The sequence below is a fragment of the Homo sapiens genome, chromosome 1, assembly GCF_000001405.40.
Source record: "Homo sapiens chromosome 1, GRCh38.p14 Primary Assembly".
In the NCBI taxonomy this organism is placed as follows: Eukaryota; Metazoa; Chordata; class Mammalia; order Primates; family Hominidae; genus Homo; species Homo sapiens.
The window spans coordinates 184,850,225-184,875,409 of record NC_000001.11 but is presented as its reverse complement, the minus strand read 5'-3'; the positions used below and the strand labels follow the sequence as shown (position 1 = coordinate 184,875,409).

Sequence of the window (25,185 nt, the reverse complement as noted above, 5' to 3'; positions counted from 1 at the left end):
CCTTCAAACGATTGCAGCTTTGGCCAACATGTGACTGCAGCTTCATGAGAGACCTCAAGCCAGAACTATCCAGCCAAGCTATTTTTGAATTCCTGACCCATAAAAACTATGAGAGATAATAAATATTTGTTGTTTCAAGCCACTAACTTTAGGGGTAATTTGTTTTACAGCACTAGAAAGCTAATATACTCATTAGTCATCGGCCATTTTTCTGCTCTAATACAAGCATTTAAATGCTATAGATTTCTCTCTACATTAGCTGAATCTCACAAGTTTGGATATGCAGGATCATTTGGATTTAAATATTTTCTGATTTCTATTATTATTATTTTTAACTTACGAGTTACTTAGAATTGTGTTTCTTAATTTCCAAATATATACTCTATGTCAATTATTGATTTCTAGCTTAATTGCACTGTGGACAGAAAATCTGATTTGTATGATATCGTCCTTTAAAATTTGCTACACCTTGCTTTGTGTCCCTGCATATGGTCAATTTTTATAAAAGCTCATAGGCCCTTGAAAACAATATATATTCTATAGCCTTATATGTCCATTAGCTTAGGTGTGTTAATAGTGTCATTCAAATCTATATCCTTACTTTTGTTTTTATTTATTTATTTATTTTCTGTAGACCTCCTCTGTGGATTTTTTGCTATGCTAAATTTTTCAGTTATTGAGAGAAGTACATTCAAATCTGCCACTGTGATGATTGACTGATTTTACTATTTGCATTTCTATTGTTGAATTATATGTTTTGAGTTATATATGTATATATACACATCTACACATGTATATGTGTGTATATATAAGCACACACATATACATACACATATATATGTAATGTTACTAGATAGATTCATGCTTAGAATTATATCTTCCTAGTGAATTAAATTTTTATCATTATGAAATGGCACATTTTATTGCTATTAATGCTATTTGCCTTAAAGTTTAAAAACATCTGACAGTCTTTAAATGATGTGTATCATTTAAGAGATGTTTATCACTTAAATGGTACATATACATCATTTAAAGGATATATCATCATCGTTAAATGAGCATTTAGTTTTTTTACATGTGTTATAATTACTCATATTTTTGTTTGTAAATTTACTATCTTACTTTGTGTTTTCTACATATCCCACCTTTTCTGTTTCCTTTCTTCTACTTTCTTGACTTCTGGATTGATTATTATTAAAACTTTATTATTAGCAATAATAATAAACACAATATATTTTATATTCTATTTTTATTTCGTATATTCTATTTTTATTTTGTTAGTGGGTATCCTAGAAATTTTAACTTGCAGAACTTATCAAAGCCAAAGATTAATCAACATCCTTAAGTTTCTCTCAAAAAATATAGATAACTTAGAATGCTTTAGCTCCTTTAACACCCCTCTCCACTTATAGGTTGTTGTGGACTTAAACTTTAATTACATTTTTCAATTTTTAACCAATCAATATATTATTATTGCTGTTTTATAAAATTGTAATATTTACTGCATTTTTACCACTGTAGAGGAGGAAAAACTTTTACTATACTCTCTTAGGTTCTGCTGGAATCGGTGAATTAAGCTGATAAAAGACAGATTAACAGGAGGAAAGCATACACATTTTATTTAATGTCATTATTTACATGGCAAAAGGGGTTTCACAGAAAACAAAGAGAAAATTTCCAAAGAAGCAGTTAGACTTGGGGGCTTATATACCAATTTAACAAAAGTAATAAATTGTGGAGAAGTGGCTCAACAAAGGAAAGAGATTTGAGTTCCTAAGAGTGCAAAATTGTGGGAAAATGGGAACTCTGGGCAATCTAGTGGAAGATAAGGGTTATTTTACTAAGGTATATTTGTGCAGATTCATCTTGGCATTGACTCCTTAACTCTGGTGATAAGAATATTCTCTTCTTCCTGGTACCAGGAGGGCACGTTTCTCATGGAAAATTTATGCCTTGCTTTTAAGCAAAAAGGACAAGGGCGGGGAGCTCTTCTTGCATCTGTTGTTTCTCAATTGCCTTTGGCTCAAAATAATCAATATGCCAATGCAGTATATTCTGAGATGGCATGTTCTGATCTCCTTCACTGCTTTCTTTGCTCATAATTTTTTCTTGCATCTCAGACTGTCCATCTGGAAACATTTTCCTTTTGCCTGAAGTACATCTTGTAGAATTTTCTTTAAGTTTGTTCAAAAGATGTTTCTAATCTTTTTCTCAGTTTTTGTTTATCTCATTCTCTCATGAGAAAATGTCTTTATCTCATTCGTATTCTTGAAAGATACTTTCACTGCATATGAAATTTTGGTGCAGCAATTATTTTCCTGTCACCACATTGAATATTTTGTTTCATGATCTTCTGGCTTCCATTACTGAAGTTGAGGAATATGCTATCAGCCTAATTCTTGTTCCTTTCAAGGTAATTTGATTGCTTTCTTTCCTATTTTTTTCTAAAAACATCTTTTTTTGTCTTTGGTATTCTGCAGTTTCACAAGAATGTGTCTTACCTACAGATTTCCTATTTATTTATACTGCTTGAAATTTGTTGGTCTTCCTGAATCTGTGGGTTATTGTTTAAGCAACTTTGGAAAATTCTCAGCCATTATTTCCTCTTTTCCTCTATTCCCTGTCTCTTTTCAGAAATCTGATTACATGTACATTAGATAGTCTATCTTCCTCACCTCTTAACCTTTTTTTTTTTTTAATTTGATACAGAGTTTCCCTCTTGTTGCCCAAGCTGGAGTGCAATAGCACGATCTTGGCTTACTGCAACCTCCACCTCCTGGGTTCAAGCGATTCTCCTGTCTCAGCCTCCCAAGTTGCTAGGATTACAGGGGTATACCACCATGCCCAGCTAATTTTTTGTATTTTTAGTAGAGATGGGGTTTCACCATGTTGGTCAGGCTGGTCTCGAACTCCTAACCTCAAGTGATCTACCTGCCTCAGCCTCCCAAAATGCTGGCATTACAGGCGTGAGCCTTCATGCCCAGCCTACTTGTTAACTTTTAATTTTATATTTTCTATCTTTTTTCTCTCTTTTTTTTTCCCTGAACAGTTTCTGTGCTCTGTCATTCAGTTCTCTACTTCTCTCTTCATCTGTATTTAATCCATTACTAACCTTATCTACGGAGTTTAAATTTTAATTTTTTTATTTTTCATTTCTATTAATTATTTTCGTTCTTTTTCTAATCTGGTCATTTAAAATAATCTCTTTTTACTTATATTTCCAATTTTTAAAAATATTTTTAAACATGTCAAACAATATATTTTATATTCCGTGTTTGCTAATTTTAATATCCAAGATCCCTGTGGGTTGTATTCTGCTGTTATTTGTGCTGGCTCTTACTCATGGTACCTTATTAACTTGCTTATTTTGTGATTTTTTTGATGATGAGTTCATATTTCACTGAAGCCAGTTGAAGGTGAGTTCCTGAGAGGATTTGTGTTTCCTCTTACTAGATGCTTGAGGACACTACCAGATATTTGGACCATGTAGCTAATGTGCATTTAGGCCATAAAGATTGTGGGGACATCCTTCTGATTATGATTTCTCAAGAGAAATATTTATCTCTTTCACTCAATGCCTAGGTTTGAGACAGACAATTTTCCTTAGAATGGGCTAAGACCGTGTGTATGTGGGTGGTTTCTGCAATTTAATTTGGCACATTATATGCATTGGTTCTTTGATTCTGGTATTCAGCATCCTGGGAGGCTAGAAAAAGGTAGCTTAAGGTCACTAGGTTCTATCAGTGTCTTCAAAGTGAAAACTAGCTTCAAGACTTGCCTTATGTTTTTGGGTTTTGTATTAGTTTGCTAGGGCTGTTGTAACAAAACACCTCAAACTTAGTGACTTAAACACCAGAAGTGTATTGTCTCAAAGTTCAAAATCCAGATGATGGCAGGGTTGGTTCCTTCTGAGGGCAATGAGAAAAGGATCCATTCCAGGCTTCTCTCCTTGGCTTATATAAGCATCACTCTGATCCATGCCTTCATCCTCCCATGACATTTTCCCTATGTATGTGTCTGTGTCCACATTTTCCTCTTTTTTTTTTTTTTTTTTTTTTTTTTGAGATAGAGTTTTGATCTTGTAACCCAGGCTGGAGTGTAATGACATGATCTCAGCTCATTGCACCCTCCACCTCCCAGGTTCAAGTGATTCTCCAGCCTCAGCCTCCCAAGCAGCTGGGATTACAGGCACACACCACCATGCTTGGCTAATTTTTGTATTTTTAGTAGAGACGGGGTTTCACCATGTTGGCCAGGCTAGTCTTGAACTCCTGACCTCAGGTGATTTGCCCACCTTGGCCTCCCAAAATACTGGGATTACAGGCATGAGCCACTGCACCCAGCTAGCACATTTTCCTCTTTTATAAGGACACCAGTCATATTGGATTGGGGGCTTATCCTATTCCAGAATGATCTCATCTAAACTAATTACATATGCAATGACCGTATTTCCAAACAAGGACACTTTCTGAGATTTGGGGGAATCAAGATTTCAACGTATGAATTTGGGGGGTATACAATTCAATCTATAACAGGTCTTACGTTGTTGCCAGTTCATTGAGGTATTCAAAAGAACTTTTGGAAGTGCAATTTATCCACTATGTCTTTTCTTCAGTAAGAGGGTTGGTTACGGTATAGAGTATGCTATGCTGCTGAACACCATAGGTTTTTGCATGGTGTTAACAAAAATTGTATGATGTTGAAAAGTTAACTGTCACTAAGGCAGTTTTACAAAGGCTGCTTCCATCTTTGGAGCAACCATTCATTTTGCAGCTCTGTCGCATTATCCTTGAGGTTCTGAGGCTGCACATTTACCACCTTGACCTTGCGGGAAATGACTCAAAAGCCACCTTCTTGGGCTATATATTTGCCACCTTGACAGCGGGGGAAATGACTCAAAAGCTAAACCTGACGTTCAGAACTTTTTCGAGTTGTAGAGCCATTTTAGGGATCCATGTTTCAGTCAACTCTGTTGAATGCTCCCGGCAACTATAGCACATATCAATCATAACAATAATAAACAAACCTCAGTCATCAAGAGTAAATTATATCCTACGTGTTATGTGTTAGATGATAGAGAAATGTGGAATACATTTTAGGAAGCTTTCTATCAAAGAGAGTTTAAACCTTTCCCATGTATAAAGGATTAGCTCTTAGCTCTGAAGACTTTGCTTAATCAGAAGATATTACTCATTTAAGGTTATTTAAAGATAAAAACTTTTAGCATATTGTAATCTATCAACCACTGCTTCTGAATGACTTGGTGTGGAATCAGAGTTGGGGGGAAGAGACTTTTAAAATTTCAGAGTCCCTGGCATTATTCCAGACCTACGAATTAGAATCTCTGAGGAAAGGAGCCCAGAAACGTACATTTTAAACAGCATCCCTTCAGAGTTAGAGAATCGTTGTTGCCTAGGGTCTTCCTTTTAAACATAAGGTATTTTGCTTCAGCAACTTAATTTTTATTTTTCTCAAATTGTATTACTGGTAAAGATTCATGATTTTTATAATATGAATTTAATGTTTGAAGTGATATTCAACAGCACAATAAAAAAGTGGTGAATGGTGGGCCGAGCGCAGTGGCTCACGCCCGTAATCCTAGCACGTTGGGAGGCCAAGGTGGGTGGGTCATTTGAGGTCAGGAGTTTGAGACTAGCCTGGCCAACATGGTGAAAACCCATCTCTACTAAAAATACAAAAATTAGCCGGGCATGGTGGCGCACAACTGTAATCCCAGCTACTCAGGAGGCTGAGGCAGGAGAATCGCTTGAACATGGGAGGTGGAGTTGCAGTGAGCCGAGATGGAGCCACTGCACTCCGGCTTGGGAAACAGAGTGAAACTCTGTCTCAAAAAAAAAAAAAGTAGTGAATGCAAATAAAAGTAGTGAATGGTCACAATGTGCTTAGCAATTGTAAGATAAAATTAAACTCTTTATAATATTTTAGTGAGAGGACCACAACTAGACTCTTCATGGGATTTCCTTTTTGAAAATAATCCTGAATCTAATAGCAAGCACAACTGAGATACATTTTCTTTACTGAGTTTTGCATTTCCAGTGTGACCCTTTCGCTTTTTATACTGGACGATCTAATTTTACGTAAGAGCTCACTCTGGTAAGCTGTACCGTGTGTAGGTGTACATGGATGATCTCCACTAGTAAGATAAAATACCTCTCTTCTCTTCTACTTTTATCCCCTTCTTCTGTCCGAGTGAGAGGCAATGTACCACCTTTCCCTTAGACATGACCATAAAATCCCAGAGGAAAGCAATATGCCTAAAATTATTTAGTCTGTTTCCCTTGCTTGAATATGCACTGGAATTCCCTGGCCTGGGGTGGGTCCTAAGAATTTGCATTTCTGACATGTTCTCAGGTAATGCTGATGCTGATACTACTGGCCTGGGGACCCTACTTGGAAAGCCACTGTATTAACTCATTTAATCCTCACAGCAGTCCTGTGAGGTAGGCACTATTATTGTCATCATGCCCATTTTATAGACGAGGGTTCTGGGGCAGCTGGTAAGACAGCTGGTGATCAGGACAAGATTTTAAAGCCAAGCAGGCCGACTTCAAGCCCGTGTTCTAAACTACTGTACCATGTGTCTTCTCAGTCAGCAGGTACTTATTAAACGCATACTGTGTGCCCTGTGTTTGACTAGCTGATATTTTTAAAAAAAATCTAATCTCATTCCTTATTCAGGAACAGATGATTTGAGGATACTCACTTCCTACTGAACTTGACATGGATAATTTCTTGATATCTACTTGAGAGGGACATGAGCTGCTACATCAATTGAAACTCAGGTGACAATTGAGATGCAGAAGTTAAGTCTTTTCTCTGCTTTTAAACATGAAGTTGTGCCTTAACCCAAAAGGGTGTTCCTGTGGTAAACTGTGTACTCTATAAATGTTCTCCAAAGCTAGAATTTTCTTGGTTTATGCAAATGTACAGCTGAGAATAATTTTGTGGGATATGTTGCAGGGGTGGGGTTGAAAAATTCATGGTACTTATCTATTACCAGTTCTTTGTGTTTTAAGTACTTAGCCTTTATTTTTTTTTCCTTTCAGCATTTTCTTTTGTTAACTGGATTCCCATACTGGCTGTTGCTGAGGGGGTTGGGGAAGTCCTGATCTGACCTGAATTTTTTAAAACAATTTTTTAGCATTTTCTTTTGGAGACCACAAATCATATTGCAAGTCAACAACGTCTGGGTGTTAGTGGGACATTTCTATTTTAAGAGGCTTAGAAAAGGAGGTAAAAAAGAAGGAAGTTGGAAGTTAGGAAGGAGCAATGAAAGCAAAGCACCCATTTTCACATCTTACCAGACAAAGCCCCTCCCTGCCAAGTTCCTTTCTGGTGGGAGATCAGGGCATGGCTCATGCAATCACCAGCTAAGAAAGGAACTGAGACTTCTCTTCATTTGTTGTTTTTTCCTTCCCCACCTTTCCCTAGAAACTATTAGACTGCCACACTGTCCCGTTGTGTGACACGGGACACTTTAAGTGACGGGGTAGACAAAAGCTGGAACAAAAGAGCCTCTATTAAGGTAAGGGTCTACTGTGTCCAGAACATTGTCTTAGATGCTGGGGGCAAAACAAACCGAAAACACAGTCATTGCTTATAAACCAAACTCAATTTGTAAGGCTATCCCACTCAGTTAACAGAGGAGAGTTTGAGGATGATTTCCTCCTGACTTTCCAGGATAAGTGGAATAAAAGAAATAGAAAATAGATCAGGAACATCATTTTGCCTCATTCCATCTCACTTTAAGTGAACTCGGGCCCAAGCCCAAGTGGTTCTGTTCCAGGAAACACGGTGGGTCAAGCAGGATGTAACCTTATCACACACCTTAGCCATTGTCCTTTCCTTCTTAAATCCCTAGTGAGGAGGATAATAGTTGAAGATATCCTTCTTTTTTTCTTCTCCAGGCTTTAGGATATCAGATTAGGTATTTTCAAGTTGAGAACAAAAAGCCTTACCACAAAGTTGTATTCTCCTTGTGCCAATAATAATGAGTCATTCTTGCTAAGAACATAGGTGGTTTGTATCTTTCTAGTGCTTCTTGTCAGAAGAAGCTTAACATGCACAGAGGGAGATATTTTTCCTGGCACAATAGACCCTAGTCACAAACCACAAAGTTTTGCAATAAGGCTATTCGTTAAGTGAATGCAATATTATAGCTGAGACACTTTTGGGGTGTGTGTGTGTGTGTGTTTGTGTGTAGGGGTGTGTGTGTGTGAGAGAGAGAGAGAGAGAGACCGAGAGAGAGTGTCTGTGTGTGATGGGGGCTATACCTCAGCTTCCTGTTTGGCCTTGCTGATGTCACCGCATTAGTATCGGTACTGCACTTCAGATTTTTGTACAGATGTAAGTCATCATATTTAGTATTTGACTTTAAAATGAATTGGTTTTTGCACATCTGTGCTCATAAATGAATAACAATAGAAGGGGGAAGAAATTTTGAATTTTGATTAGATGAAAGGGGTGCAAAACTTCCACTCTTTCTTTCATAGATACCTTGCAAGCCAAAAGCTTTCTAGAATTGCTAGGTGAAGTTCTAAATATCACTAATTTTGAGATAGGCTGATTGACATTTATGATTGGGTTTGGTCAGGATGAAGGGTAGTGAAATTACCAGCATAGATGAGTGAGTTGCCATTGGTCTAAATTTTGCCATCTCTGGTTTTCTTCTGATTTCTAGTTCCATATTTGGTGGCTTTAAATGAACACAGTACTGTTCTCTTCATACCATGTATATTTTTTACCAGGTCAGGAATCTAAGAAACTTATGATCTAATTTAGATGTCTCTGGAAATGTGAATTTCATAACTTAAGAGAAGGGAACAGATTTGAAATTGAAATATTATTATAGGGAGCTGACAGTTGGGTTAAGTGGATTGTTACACATTATCATCTTAAAATTACATTTCGTGTCTTCTTAACTTTCCTCCAAAGAACACATCCTAGAATTATAACACTATTTTCAATTCCCTCTGCATCTTTCAGCCCTTAGAACTAAATCCTAAGCCAATAGCTCACTTTTGGACTCCTAAATTTGATTTTCTGAAGGCCTTAGGTTAAATGTCATTTCCACCAGAACACCTTTCTTAATCTTTCAGGTAGGTGAAAGCCCCACAATTTTCTTCTATCTGTCCATTCATCTGTCCTTCCTTCTCTCGTACCTGTCCTTACTTCCATCACAGTTCTAATCACATCATGTCATCATTGACTATTTATTTATCTGACTCCTAAAACTAGGAGTTCCTAGAAGCCAAGTCTATGCCCATCTACTATTACATCTCAGCCATTAGTACTGAGTGTAGGGGTGTAGTAAGCACATACTCATTTTTTTTTAACTGAATAAAGGAGCATGGGAAGTAGGTCATCATTTGAAAAAGCATCTGGAAATGATAAGAATAGTTAATAAAGCATTCCGGATTGTTTAGGAGAAAGGTCTATTTTACTTGTTAACAGCAAAGGCAATTTCTTTGGAAGATTTTGCTTTCTTTTTTGACTATCTGTGCAGTTACTTGTTTATTTTTCATTTTCCATCAGCTTTACAACTTTTTTTCTCATGCTCCTCATCGCCTACTATCATTTGTGTTTAAGCCTTCCTTTACATAAAACAGTATTTTTGGCTTATTATTTGGATGATTAATGAAAATCAATCTTAGCAGTTAGATTTCTGACTGAGACTGACCAGACAAAGTGAAATGTGTTGCATGATGCCATTATTTAAGTCACTGTTTTGTTGGCTGTGACCCATTAAGCATCCTTTCTTTTTGTTTAAAAATTATTTTTTTTCAGCTTGTTTTAGATTTGGGGGTACGTGTGCAGATTTGTTACATTGGTATACTGTGTGATGCTGAGGTTTGGGGTATGAATGGTCTCGTTACCCAAGTACTGAGCATAGTATACAATAGTTAGGTTTTTCAACTCTGTACCCTTCCCCCACCTCTATAGTCCCGTGTATTGTTGCCATCTATATGTCCATTGGTACTCAATGTGTGGCTCCCACTTATAAGTGAGAACATGAGGTATTTGGTTTTCTGCTCCTGTGTTAATTTGCTTATAATGGCCTTCAGCTTCCTCCATGTTGCTACAAAGGACATGATTTTGTTCTTTTTTTAATAGCTGTGTAGTATCCCATTGTGTATATATACCACATTTTCTTTGCCCAGCCCACTGTTGATGGGCACCAAGGCTGATTCCAGACTGCTTTCCACAGTGGCTGAACTAACTTACATTCCTATCTACCATGTATAAGCATTCCCTTTTCTCTGCACCTCACCAGCATCTGTTATTTTTTGACTTTTTAGTAATAGCCATTCTGACTGGTGTGAGATGGTATCACATTGTGATTTTGATTTGCATTTCTCTGATGATTAGTGATACTGAGCATTCTTTTTTTTTTTTTTTTTGACCTCTTTAGTTTTATATTGTTTCAGCTAAAACCTGTGATGAGGTCATTCTTAGTGAACTACTTATAACTAGTTAGTTCTTATAAATGCTGCCAATGTTTTTTTTTTCTTTTATTATTATTATACTTTAAGTTTTAGGGTACATATGCATTCTTAAAATATGTTTGTTGGCCGTTTGTATGTCTTCTTCTGAGAATTGTCTATTCATGTCTTTTGCCCATTTTTAATGCGATTATTTGTTTTTTGCTTGTTCAATTAAGTTCCTTAAAGGTTCTGAATATTAGACCTTTGTTAGATGTCTAGTTTGTGAATAAAATATTATTTTTTAATGCATCTATTTTCATTTTACGTATTTTTTTTTACAGTCACCTTGGTGACTGTAACACTTACCATCACTTTTGAAGAAGTGACTTAACAAAAGAACCCAAACAACATTTCTTCACCTCTGCAGACTCTTCCTCTCACAATGAAGTGGCTTCCGTTACTGGAATAATGTCAGGGAAGATAACAGCTTCCTCTAAATTCACCCTATTCAAATGTGTAATTCACACTTGTTCACAGACTAGAATAATGTACCTATAAAGTGTTTATTGGCTGTTATATAGCTCCTAGAGGAAGAAAATAAAAATGAAATGGTTTGTACGTTATAGTTTGTCAGAAGTATGATTGCCAATTATAATGATAAAATACTAATGATAGCTCACATTGCTAATATTTATTGAGCACTTACCGTGTGCCAAGCACTGTGTGAAGGCTGACAACAATCCTTTTAGTTAAACAGCATTATTGTCCGTAGGAAACCAAGATTTAGATAGCTAAAGGAGATTGCCTAGAGGTAGGCAGTTATCAAGTGGTGGACTCAGAATTCAATCCTGAATGTTTAACTCCAAAGCTCAAGCTCGTAATTGTTGTGTATTAAAGAGCCTGACAACTAAAGGATTATATATTCAGTTTCTCCTGCTACATTTGAAGAGGGATTTTAGAAAGTAACAATACTAGCAACCAATTATTGAATGCCAGGTAATACACTGAGTGTTTAATGTATGCTCTTTCGATCCCTATGACAATACTAAGGAGGAACAAATTTTATCTCCATTTTTCAGATGACACTGAGGTTCATGGAAATTAAGAAGTATATTTAAAGTCACAAAGCTATTTAAGGTCACAATAGCTAATTAAGCTATTAAACCAATGAATACCTAGATCTCTGCTCTTACTGCTTATTGCTGGTCATACTAGAGTATGTCCAGTGCTTGAATAGTAAGAGGTCTGGCAACCAGGTCATATGACTGAGAAAACTGGGTTATGTTTAACCTGACAGTGGTTGAAGGGAGGAAAAAAATCTTCAAATATCTTTTGTCACGTAGAGGAAGGATCAGACATATTTTGTTTTGCTCCAGAAGGTAAAAGTGTCTCTTGTAAATGTAGGCAATCTAGATTCTGAAATTGCAATTGCAGTTGCTTGCTTCTGGGAATTTTATTTAATTGAAAATAGAAATTGAATCTGTAAACCAAAAATACATAAACAAACAAACAAAAAAAACTAATTTGAACTCAGTTAAAGTCCCCAGGTGGCATCTATTACATGCATCTTCTGAAGACACCGTTGCATTTTTATTGTATTAGAAGAAACAACATTTCCAGAATATCAGAGGTGAAGCCTCAAGTCAGTTCTGTGTCTGCCAGAATAAAAACAAAAATAAACTTATCTTTCTTCTTGTTGTCCTAAGAATAAGGTATCAGTAGTTCCAGAGGAAGATAAGACCAACTGAGAGTGTGGGAAAGAGAATAACCTTAGTGTTCAAAGCTTCATAGGGCAGAGAACATTGGACAGGTCAACTAGTAATGCCTACCGCATCGTGTGGTGATGAGGAGGGAGAGAATGAACTGCTACACGTGAGGTTCTCAGAACTCTTTTAAGGAGGACGTAATGTTAAACTAATAAAACCTGGTGAGAAACAACACACAGGGGTGCCTCCGGAGGCTGGAGGGTGGGAAAAAGGAGAGGATCAGAAAACATAAATACCAGATACTGGGCTTAATACCTGGGTGATGAAATAATCTGTACAACAAACACCTATGACACAAGTTTACCTGTGTAACAACCTGCACTTTTACCCCTGAACTTAAAATAAAAGTTATTAAAAAAAAAAAGAAAAGAAAAACTGTGGGATAGCTTGGCTATACAATTATCAATATTCTGATATTTTCCAATTAATGCTGCTGTTTCTCATATGACCACAAAAGGGAGATTTGTTTCTTTTCTGTGTTTGAGATGGGCATATGGAATTCTTTAAAAACAAAAAGGGGAAATACCAAGAAATAAAATCAGGCAACTGAAGATATGCCTTCTGCCATGGAAGCTCAAAATTTTAGGATCTTTCAAGTTCTTCATTTGCACCTGGGACTTCAGATGCTTGGTATTGCTAAAAAATGTGTTCATTTTCTATTTCAAATAAATATGGAGATAATTATTTTAACAAAACAAAACAAAAACCTGGTAAGAGGGCTGAGCATGGTGGCATACCACTGTAGTCCCAGCTGCTCTCGAAGCTGAGGCAGGAGGATCGCTTGAGCCCAGGAATTCAAGGCTGTACTGCACAATGATTGCGCCTGTGAATAGCCACAGCACTCCAGCCTGGGCAACATAGTGAGATCTCACCTTAAAAAAAAAAAAGTATGAAAAACCTGTTGAGAAATGGAGCATCGACTAGGAAGCTGACCTGAGGAGGATCAAGAGACCCAGTGTTAGCTAGCCACTTCCATCACGGGACAGTGGCTGCTGTTAACCGGGCAGGGGGAGCATTCGGAGATAAACAAGGGAAGGTCTGCAGGTGCCAGGGAAGGTCTGCGGGCGATTTTTCTAATATGTACTTTGGCATGGTCTAATGTTGACTTTTTGCAAGGAAAAGGCCAGGTCAATCTTATTGTTCTTTCCTTTCTTTGAACTGTGGAATAATAGTGAGTGCCCTTGAACCTGTGGAGAAAAGGATAGAAAATTTGTTTTTCTTTCACATAAAAGGACATTGGGGCATGCCTTAGTCCCTAGCTGACAGTACTAGTCACTGTGCAGGGGAAGATGGCTTTCTGGAGCACACTAATTCCACTTCAGAACACAGAGCAAGATTAATTATGAAGAACTGATAACTCCCTACCTCCCTACTTCCCTCCCTCCTTCTCTCTCTTCTTCCCTCCCTTCTTCTTTCCTTCTTTCCTCCCTCCCTCCTTTCTTCTTTCCTCCCTTCCTCCCTCCCCTTCTCCTTCTCTCCTTTTCCCCTTCCTTCCTTCTTTCCTTCCCTCACTCCTTCCCTCCCTCCCTTCCTCCTTCCTTCCTTCCTTTTCCTTCTCCTTTTCTCTTTCCTTCCTTCATTCTCCTTTCCTTCCTTCCTTCCCTCCTTCCTTCCCTCCTTCCTTCCTTCTCTCCTTCTTTCCCTTCCTCCCTCCCTTCCTCCCTTCCTCCCTCCTCTTCCCCCCTTCCTGTCTTCTTTCCTCTTGTCCCTTCCTTCTGCCAACAAATACTTATCAGCACCTTTTGTATGCTGAGCCCTTGCTAAGTGCTGACAGTCCAGTGCTATAGAAAACAGACATGATCCCTGCCTTCTTAGAAGTTACAAACTAGTAATAATAAAGAAAAAAATATTTAATTACAAATTGAGATACGTGTGTAAAGGATGCACCAAGAAATTATAAGAGGGACTTGATTTAGATTGGTTCAAGGAAAGGAATCTGTGAACGTGGCAAATTAGCCCTGAAGAACATATGGTCTGGAGCAAGAGCTGGCAAGTCTGGCTGCCACCTGTTTGTGTGTGGAACACAGCCACACCATTTGCCTAGGTATTTTGGGCTGCTTCTGCAATAGAATGGCAGAGTTGACTAGTGGCAACAGAGACTGAATGGCTCACAAAGCCTACAATGTTTACTATTTTGCCTTTTACAGAAAAAGTTTGCTGACCCCTGGTCTAGAAAATACTTGAAAATAAGAGCTACAATATTTCATTTGATCCATGCCTTTTCAGGTAGGGTGGGCCGTGGACTTTGTATGACTGAAACATGTGTGGGCACAAATTACTTGGGTGTGATAATGTGTGTCTCATCATGAAGTAGACTCTAAGCAGACAAGAAACTTTCTCCAAAACTTGAGATTGCATATTTCAAATGAATTTCCTGTTTGTGGAAAGAGGTATTATGGTGTGGTGTTTGTAAGCTTAGTATTTGGAATTTGATTTTGAAAGACTATTTTGGATTCAGATCTTGGCTCCACCACTTAGGATCTGTGTTACTCACTCTCATTACTCTTCAATTTTCTCATCAGTGGGACAGAGGTATTGTCAGTGCCCATTCATATAGTTATTGTGAAAATTACCTGAGATAATGAAAAGACAGTACTTAGTACAATGACTGACATACAGTAAATACTTAATATATATACACTGTTAGGATTTTTAAGATACAAAATATTTTCATAAAATAACACATCAATTTTTGTGATGCTACTCCATAAATAATATTCAGTTTTTGTTTTTTATCCTAATAGAACAATTTTTTTCACAATGTCTGAGGATAAATAAAAGCAATGACTTCTAAGTCACAATTATACAATTTTTGGAAGCTAATTTTATAATATTTTGAATTTTTTTGCATGTTTACAAAATTAATTTTTGTTTTACTCTGGAAGTTTGAGGTAGATCTGCCCCCGTCTCCCTGGCCCCCCGCCCCCGCCGCAGTGCTATATTTAGCATGCTTCCTCCCACCTGCCTACAGCTTTGCATACCCTAAAATGCCCATTAAACTCCTTTTCATTCCTTCTGTCTACAGTCTGGGCCTATATTAGTCCTATGGCTTTGATTCCAACCCCACTCACACCATAGTTCTCTGGTTCATTTTCAGCTAGTTCATGAGTGGGTCTATTCTTCCAGCCTTTTCTTACTTTCCCTTTGTGGTCTACGGTCCTTGCATGGACATGACCACTTCCCAATGCCTCCCCACAGTCCTTCGTTCCCTGAAGTTCTGGCTTTGGTTCCACTTTCCCATGGCTCTGACTTGCAGGAGTGCTTGGTTGTAGGCTAACTGCCTTGCACACACCCTCATCAGCTGTCCGCTTTCCTGATGCAGACCTCAGCTCCTTGCTGAGCAATGGCATCCTCACCATGCTGCCCATGAAACCCCCACCCAGCCCTTCCCTTAAAATATCTACTGGGTAGCCACCAGTCACTCACAGTAATCTGGTGAGCATGGCAGAGCGAACCAGCAAGGCACAGCAGATAGGACTGCTTATATACCATAATGATGACTTCATAGCACCATGAAAATAAGCACTGGCCTAGTTACCTGGTCAAGAAAAAAAAAATCAGAACTCTTACAACAGAAATCAGGTAGTGGGATATATTCTGCTTCTGCTTTCAGATCCTTTTTGGTTTGTTTCCATTGGCTACATGGTTACTGGGGAAATACAGATCAAACTTGTGTTCTCTGAACCCAGTGACACGGAAAGCAGAGGTATCAAATAATGATGCCAGAGCTGGAAAGTACCTTAGAGATCCTATGTCCCACTGCCATCATTGTGGTAGATAAGGACACAGGGAGGTTGAGCACTTTACCCAGGATCACATGGAAGAAATGTGATATTGATCAACGTGGGTAGGCTGAGGATGTATTTGCTGGACAGATGTATTCCACTGCCCAGCAAATGATTGAGCCAAATAATGAATGAAAGGACCAAATAATTCCTTGAGTCAAATATTCTTCTCTTTGTTTTACATTATTTTAAAACCTCATATATATATATTTATTTATTTATTTAAAACCGCACATATATATACATACACACAATTTTATATAAATGCATAAATTGGATCATATCATAAATGTTAGGGTTTTTCTTTTTTTGCTTCTCTTTTCATTCTTTTAATTCCTCCATAGAGGAATTAGAACTCCTGTAGGAATTAAAATTCCTGTATGTATCTTTCCATATTTTTCTCAATATACCTACATATATTATAGGGGTTTTTGGTCACTGTTTTTTGTTTTTTGTTTTTTTAAGGTGACCATGTGATACACTTTTCTCTATTTTTCTTTTTTTCACTCAACAGGGTCTCATGGAAATCCCTCCAAGTCAATTGATACTGTTTTAACTCCTTTATTAGCAGCTATATAATATTCTGTGGTTTGCACCCTACATGATTCAACCATTCTCTTCCTGATGGCCTTTACTCTGTTCCCAGGTTTACCACTATCACCCATGATTAAATACGTGTCCTTGTACATATATCCTCATGTTCTTATTTCTATGAGGCAGTGCCCGTGAAGAGAGATTGCTGGGTAAATGTATTTTTAACTTAATAGATGTTGCCAGATTAATTTTCTGATAGACTATAAAATTTCATATTTCTACAGTGTATGAGAGTGCCCTTTTTCCAGCAGCCCTGCCAATCATAGGTATTTCGGCTCTTGCTTTGTTTTTTTTTGACAAGCTGATGGATAAGAAGTGAATTTGCTTTTTATTTTGAGTGGCCTTTCCCGGATTGGCCATGAGTCTGAGATCTTATCTCATGTTTATCAGCCATTTAGATGCACTTTCATGTGAATTGTCCGTTGATGTTCTTTGCCATTTTCATTTTCATTCATTTATTCATTCTTTTTCTTCTTCTTCCTTTTGTTTTGTAATATTCTTGTAAGAACTCTGAACATTTAGATATTAACCCTTTTTATATCTTTTCATTGTCATTCATTCCTTCCTTCTTTTTCTTGTTCTCTTGTTGGTAATTTTCTTATAAGAACTCTGAACATTTAGATATTAACTCTTTTTTATATCTCCATTAAAAATGTTTTTCTCAAATTCATTGCTCATGTGTTATTATAAACTAATTATGTTATTATTAACCTTTAATTATGATATATTTTGCCATGCAAAGGTGTCTATTTTTATGCAGTCAAATATATTAATCTTTATTTTTATGGCTTTTGGATTTTCTGCCTGTGTTTAGAAGATTCCCCTTAACCCAAGATTATATTTCTAATTTCCTCAATTTTTCTTGAAGGTTTTATATTGCTATTTTTTTTTTAACATTTGAGTTTCCAGTCTGTGTGGAAATCATGTTTATATATGATGTATATGAGTGGTCTAACATTTTCCCTTTAAATGGAAAATCAGTTGCGCCAGCACCATTTATTAAATAATCTAACCTTCCCACTGAATTAAGCTACAATTTTTGCCATATATTAAAATTATATATATACACACATATACATATGAAAAGAGAAAAGAATACCTAGATAACCTCAAGACACATATGTATATGTATATCTATTTGTTTATTCTCATGTTAATGCAATTTTAATTTGATTGCAGATTTTTGTTGCATATTCTTTAATAAGAACATTTTCCACTTACAATTCAGTCGTATAATACTTTTCTTGATCATTTTAGGCATATATTCTCATTGTGAATTTACATTCATTGTAGCTAATTATTCCCTAATGCCTGCTGGGTTTCTAATTACAATCAATTTATAAATTATTTTAGAAAATATTATTAAATGTTTACATGTCATATTCAATGGGGGATCCAAAACATTCATTTTGAAGGCCCACTCACACTCACGGGAATAGATTAAATGTTGTAGTGTGCTTTTCCCATCTGTACTAAGCTCAAGGCTGCCATTAGGACACAGCAAAGGAGAAGAAGGAAGGTCACTGGAAGCTAGAGAACTCACCAAGTGCAGGCTCTGTCCTTAGGCCTTTGTTCATGGTGTCTTGCCTTACACAATAGCATCTTGATCCCAGTTAGGAAGCCCCTAAGCCTTGCAGACTCCAGAACCCATCACCTTGCACTCTATCTGTTGGAAGGCTTTATAACCACATAGTTTTATGTCTGCACCTAATATAAATTAAGAACTCTTTCTAGGATAGGCTTGAAGATTTCATAGGTTGGGTGTTTGAAAAAGGAAATGCTGTGTGATGAGGACACTGTGCTCTGTGGCTTTCCTCTGTGCTTTGGGTCACGCTCTTCCTTTGCCTTGAGAACCTGCCACCTGCCACAGTTCAGCCCACCCATGTCTACTTAGCTCCCTGTTCCATGAAAACATCCATATTCCAAACCAGACTCCCATGGCCCATTGCTTTCACTAGTAGCATTTATCACACTCGCTGTTGTGTTACAGATCATTATGCCTTCTTTTGCCAAACACTTACCAGGCACCTGCCTTGTGATTGTTCAGAGTGCCGGGGATCCAATGGGGAACAGGTGGTGGATTTATTATTCTTTCCCACTCAAACTTTATGCCCATGAACCAAATCTTGTTCCCTTATATTCAGAGAATCCCTCACAGTGACTCATACATAGAATATGTTCAACCAGTGTTAGGGGAGTGAGTGAATATATAATAATGATTAGGTGATAGGAGGAATAATTTGGTTGAATTATGATTTTCTCATTTCTGCATCAATTAGTTATCACCTTTTTTCCAGCTTAAAATTTTTCCCCATGTTTTGAATGTGTCACCTTTGTTGCTTTCTTCCTAAATGTCCATGGTCAAATTTTCAAAGTTTGCCAGAATGAATTTTTCATTAAATAAATAAAGATTTTTTAGAACCCTTACTGTATGTTAGGTACTACAATAAGCATTAGGGAGAAAATACCGATCAAAAATAGACCCATATGAATAAGATTGCCATTTTACAAAATGAAAACTGGGTCATTTTTCTCCAGAAGGCATGTAGGCACAATATTTTAAAAATCTAAGCCCACAAAATCTGACTTATAAAACAAATAATGATGTCAATCAGGAGCCTAAAATAGATTTGATATTTAATACTTATATTTAAATTGAGAAGTGGGTGAACATGATTGAACATTCTAGACTTGTGGATTCAGCATTTATAACTAGAAAAATATGGGAATAAGTCAGAAGTAATCAGTATCCCCAATCTTTGATACTGAAGAATAACACTTTTTAAAGAGCAGTATTACTACGTAACCCATTTGCTTTCATTTATATTGTAACACAATAAATGTTTATTTTTAGTTTAGACGTGTACTTTTGTCTTGCTCAATGTACTTACCAATCGGCTAGAAACATGGGTCTAGATGAATACTTATACATTAATTTAAGCTTAATTAGAAACTGGCAATCTACACTGATCAGATCTACATTCATTTATTCAACAAATATTTATTGAGTATATAGTGTGTGCCAAGTTCTATTCTAGGTTCTCAGGATACAGCAATGAGCAAAACAAAGATGCCTGTTCTTGTGACACTTATATTCTAGTTCGGGGCCAATGGTGGAAACAGAAAATAGACCATGAACACAGTAAAGAAATTATGTAGCATGACAGAATGTAGCAAGTGCTGTGGAAAAATAGTAGAGTGGACTAAGGGGATCCAGGAGTGCTGGGGTTGAAGGGGGAGAGGTCAGGCAACATATAAAATAAATTGTATTAGAGAAGCACAGAATTAGAGAGAACTATGCCCAGCCTAGAACTGAAGAGAAATGTGGAGATAGAGAATGCTATCAGAGAGATTAAAAAAAAAATAAGTATGGGATTAACAAACAAAACCTATAAGGAATACTAGCAATAATTGTATCATTCAGCTTGAAAGAAAAGCTCTGGGAAGACACGATAGTGATTTTTCAATGTTATTTTATTCAATGTTATGCCCAGCTGCTAAGGATGCTACCTGTAGAAATGTTCTTGATTGTAACGTAAACCCACACTATTTAATAAACATTAGCTTTTTACAGTTGTTAATAATTATAATTGGTCTGGAATATTTTATATGCTGTTACAACTATTTAATAACTAGTAACTAGTTACAACTATTTAATAAATAAATATTGCCTTATTCGTAGGGAAATGGATTGGACATTTAAAGTCCATTTTAGTTCTATGATTCCATCATGCCTTCCACAATCACAAAATGCAATTAGGATCTATGAATGCCCAAGAGGGATTTACTTACTTATCATTAACACACCAACATAGGAAATGTGCACACACACATACACACTCATTCCTGCAAAAGCTTTGACATTTCTGACACAAGAATTGAGGTTTTGTTTTTATTTCCTCTTTTTTCTATTTTACTATAAGGGAATTAGATCATTGGACCAATTCTTTCAAATAGTTCCATGGATTGAGTTAATTACAATACGTGATCCAAGTCTGTACCCACTATTGAGATTGTCTACAATAGAAACAGGGGGCATCTAAATCCATCAAGCATTTTAGCTGTTGGTTCTTTTTGGTGGAAAGTAGAGGCAGGGTGAACAATCTGTTACTATAAATATAGTGGATTGTTGCAAGGCTGTATCCTGTTTGGAAATGATCTCATCTGTCTGTTGCTGGTTAGCAGTTTTCTACCAAACTGAGCAGGAATATTACCATATGGCATTGTTGTTAGAGAGCCCTCAAAGTTAAAGCCACAAGGATTCCTCATTGCCCATGAGGTAGGGTTTATGAGTGAGATATAATTGTCAAGGGTCTTGAATTTGAACTAACCTTAATCCACATAGGGACTTGTTACAAGTTTATTTTATTCCTTAATTTTGTGCATTATTCCGATCCTGGGATTGTTCTATTGGATAAGCTGTGCTATGTATGTAATTGATGAATTATAGAAAAAGTCAAGTTTCTCCCTTCTTTATTGATATAAAACAGATCCCTTTGTAATGAGGCTGTTTGAACATGGGCAGGTGTGCAGTGGCATGCTCTCTTTCATTGCCTCCTCCTCTGCCCCAACTCAAATAAACAACATACTCTTAAACCACAAGCATCTAGAGTGTGCTGTCCAATATGGCAGCCATAGCCCCATGTGGTTAATAATCACTTAAAATGTCCTGAATCCAAACTCAAATGTGCTGTAGGTATAAAAGGCACATCAGATTTCAAAGACTTAGTACTAAAAAAAGAATGCAAAATATCTCATTAATAATTTTTATATTGATCACATATTTCAGATATTTGGGGTTAAATAAAACATTATCATTAATCTTACTTGTGTCTTTTTTTGATATGGCTACTATAAAATTTAAAATTGCATACATGGCTTTCATTATATCTCATTATATGAAATGTATTTCATTATATTTCTCTTGAATAGCACCAGTCTAGAGTCTTAATGGGAAAGCAAAGAGACTTCCCATTTCCCTTTCTCTTACCCTGGGAGAGGGCTTTAAGACAAAGTATTGATTACTTTCTACAGCCCAGAGAAAGATGTGTGTGTTTGTGTGTATGCACATGTGTATATGTGTATTTTTGTGTGTGCGCACAGGTGTGTGTATGTATGTGTGTGTGTTGAGGGTGGGAGAAGATTCAGTGGGAAGGATAAGGAGCATGGAAAGGGAAGAAAAGTGAGCATTTTCAACCAGTTGGTCTGAGATGCCATCTACTCTCACTGGAAGTAAGGAACAAAGAATAGCTGAGCACAAGTTAGTTCTTAAAAGGCAAATTTGCTTTTTGTTTTAAAAATAGGATGAATCAGTGGAACATCAGACTCATTTGAATTCAAATGTAAATGCAAATTAAGCTTCCTTAACATCAGTACAGAAGCAAATATGAAGTTTTAAGAATTATTATCATCACTTTATCCATTGTTAGCAAGGATAGTCAAGAACTGACCTGTATTCCATTGTATAGTCTTGATTTATACAAAGGGTATGATTTATTTTGTTCTGAAGCATTTTATGAAAGAAAAATTTCTGGTTGAGATAGAATCACTTAATGACCTTACAGTTTATATTCAAATAAACACCCGAAATAGTAAGGTAGCTTTTCTGGATAACTGGATGATTTTGTATATCACAATGCTTTTGGTAAATGGTAAATTAAGGGGTTTAGGAAGAACCTACTTTTTCAAATAAAAAGAAAGATATAAGTTAATGATGTAATATTTCATAGTTTTGCTATAATCTTTTCATTGACCATGAAATGGCAAATTTGAATTTTTTTATTTGAATATTTTCACTATTTTATTAGGTTAATTAATTAGATATTCCATGTGGTAAGTCCAATGGAAATAACCATGAAATGGACTGTTATTTAGGGGAGTAGAAGGGGAAATGAGGAGGTCAAAGAGACCCTAGACAAGCGCTGTCCAACAGAAATATAATGAAAGACACATGCCATTTAATATCTTCCAGTAGCCACATTGATGCCTTTCTGCAGCCCAGAGAAAGATGAGTGAGAGAGAGAGACAGGCAGACGGAGAGAAAGAGAGAATGTTTAGCGGGAAGAAAAGGAGAAGGTAGCCTTGAAGACGGAACTTTATGTCCCTAAGTTGAACTACTATCATGGAAAGCACCAACCAAATGTCAATACAACTGACGGTACTTTCAGTTGATCATAGAATTACATTGTTTCATAGCTGAGAAAGCAGACATGATGGTCAGCCTTCCACTTGAAATGAGAGATTAGGCCCAGAGAAGCAAAGTAACTCACCTCGAGTCACACAGGAGATGAAGCAGAAGTGGAAATAGTGGCCAGTTTTGATTCTCACTAGACACTGTGCTATGGCCTGAGGATACAGTGATAAATATGACAGTCCTTGTCCATAAGGACATTCTAGTGCAGTGGGGCACCAGTCCATCTGGGTGTGGCACAGATGACATCACCTATGACACAGGCACACTTGTGTTGTCCCCTGACCATGCCCAGTTTTGGTGGCAAGCAGGGGATAGTAATATTACTTTCAAGGACATTCGTGACAAACCTCAAAAGTGTTCCAGGCTGTAAGGATTTTCCCTCCATTCCTGAAAAGCAGAACATTTGAAGGAGGCAGTGGAGATCTCTTCTGAGTAAACCACACCAAACAATATCTTTCAGGAGAAGAAAAAAGAATGTCCTCTTCAATTGACATCACACTGGAGACTGCTTGGTGGACTGGGTCAGGAGCTGGGCTTGAGCTCTGCCCGTCCTAAGGGAGAGAGAGGCTCGCTTCCATGTGAGTCTCTGCTCACCGAAGTTCTTTACAAACACCTTGGATTGGACCCCGCGTGGTGGGACTGTGGCGCGTGCTGGGCTTTGGAAGCTGCCAGCGCTCACGGGAGCTCTCTGAGATTCTAAGAGGCAAACTGCCCAGGACCATTTTGACTCTGGAAAGGCAAATATCAACCATGGTCATAAGAGGATTAGTTAAAAAAAAAAAAAAAGTCGTTAGATCAGCCTGTATATTCCTAAGGATAATTAACAGTGTAACATTTCATAAACTTTGAGCCACAAGTACAAAATCCCCCATAACTCACCTTTTATTTCTTATGCATTCCCTTTTCATCCTCATGTTTTGCATTACTTAATCAGGATATATATGTAATGTATAATCTGGTTCTTTTTAAAATTTTTTTTTTTAATTTTTTTTTTTTTTATTATACTCTAAGTTTTAGGGTACATGTGCACATTGTGCAGGTTAGTTACATATGTATACATGTGCCATGCTGGTGCGCTGCACCCACTAACGTGTCATCTAGCATTAGGTATATCTCCAATGCTATCCCTCCCCCCTCCCCCGACCCCACCACAGTCCCCAAGTGTGATATTCCCCTTCCTGTGTCCATGTGATCTCATTGTTCAATTCCCACCTATGAGTGAGAATATGCGGTGTTTGGTTTTTTGTTCTTGCGATAGTTTACTGAGAATGATGGTTTCCAATTTCATCCATGTCCCTACAAAGGACATGAACTCATCATTTTTTATGGCTGCATAGTATTCCATGGTGTATATGTGCCACATTTTCTTAATCCAGTCTATCATTGTTGGACATTTGGGTTGGTTCCAAGTCTTTGCTATTGTGAATAGTGCCGCAATAAACATACGTGTGCATGTGTCTTTATAGCAGCATGATTTATAGTCATTTGGGTATATACCCAGTAATGGGATGGCTGGGTCAAATTGTATTTCTAGTTCTAGATCCCTGAGGAATCGCCACACTGACTTCCACAATGGTTGAACTAGTTTACAGTCCCACCAACAGTGTAAAAGTGTTCCTATTTCTCCACATCCTCTCCAGCACCTGTTGTTTCCTGACTTTTTAATGATTGCCATTCTAACTGGTGTGAGATGATATCTCATAGTGGTTTTGATTTGCATTTCTCTGATGGCCAGTGATGATGAGCATTTCTTCATGTGTTTTTTGGCTGCATAAATGTCTTCTTTTGAGAAGTGTCTGTTCATGTCCTTCGCCCACTTTTTGATGGGGTTGTTTGTTTTTTTCTTGTAAATTTGTTTGAGTTCATTGTAGATTCTGGATATTAGCCCTTTGTCAGATGACTAGGTTGTGAAAATTTTCTCCCATGTTGTAGGTTGCCTGTTCACTCTGATGGTAGTTTCTTTTGCTGTGCAGAAGCTCTTTAGTTTAATTAGATCCCATTTGTCAATTTTGGCTTTTGTTGCCATTGCTTTTGGTGTTTTGGACATGAAGTCCTTGCCCATGCCTATGTCCTGAATGGTAATGCCTAGGTTTTCTTCTAGGGTTTTTATGGTTTTAGGTCTAACGTTTAAATCTTTAATCCATCTTGAATTGATTTTTGTATAAGGTGTAAGGAAGGGATCCAGTTTCAGCTTTCTACATATGGCTAGCCAGTTTTCCCAGCACCATTTATTAAATAGGGAATCCTTTCCCCATTGCTTGTTTTTCTCAGGTTTGTCAAAGATCAGATAGTTGTAGACATGCGGCATTATTTCTGAGGGCTCTGTTCTGTTCCATTGATCTATATCTCTGTTTTGGTACCAGTACCATGCTGTTTTGGTTACTGTAGCCTTGTAGTATAGT

At 37.1% G+C, this 25,185-nt stretch overlaps 1 protein-coding gene across 6 annotated transcripts in view, besides 1 other annotated feature; it reads left to right on the top strand.

Moving 5' to 3' along the window:
• The window catches only part of NIBAN1 (niban apoptosis regulator 1), a 183,477-nt gene that overhangs the window by 99,099 nt on the left and 59,193 nt on the right, over positions 1-25,185 (top strand). The gene's annotated exons all lie outside the window — the stretch shown is intronic.
• Positions 15,654-15,723: an enhancer, noted in NCBI's record as "active region_2239". NCBI's record gives its function as "activates an Ori minimal core promoter by ATAC-STARR-seq in GM12878 lymphoblastoid cells {active_cell/tissue: GM12878}" and the evidence as "EXISTENCE:reporter gene assay evidence [ECO:0000049][PMID:35858748]".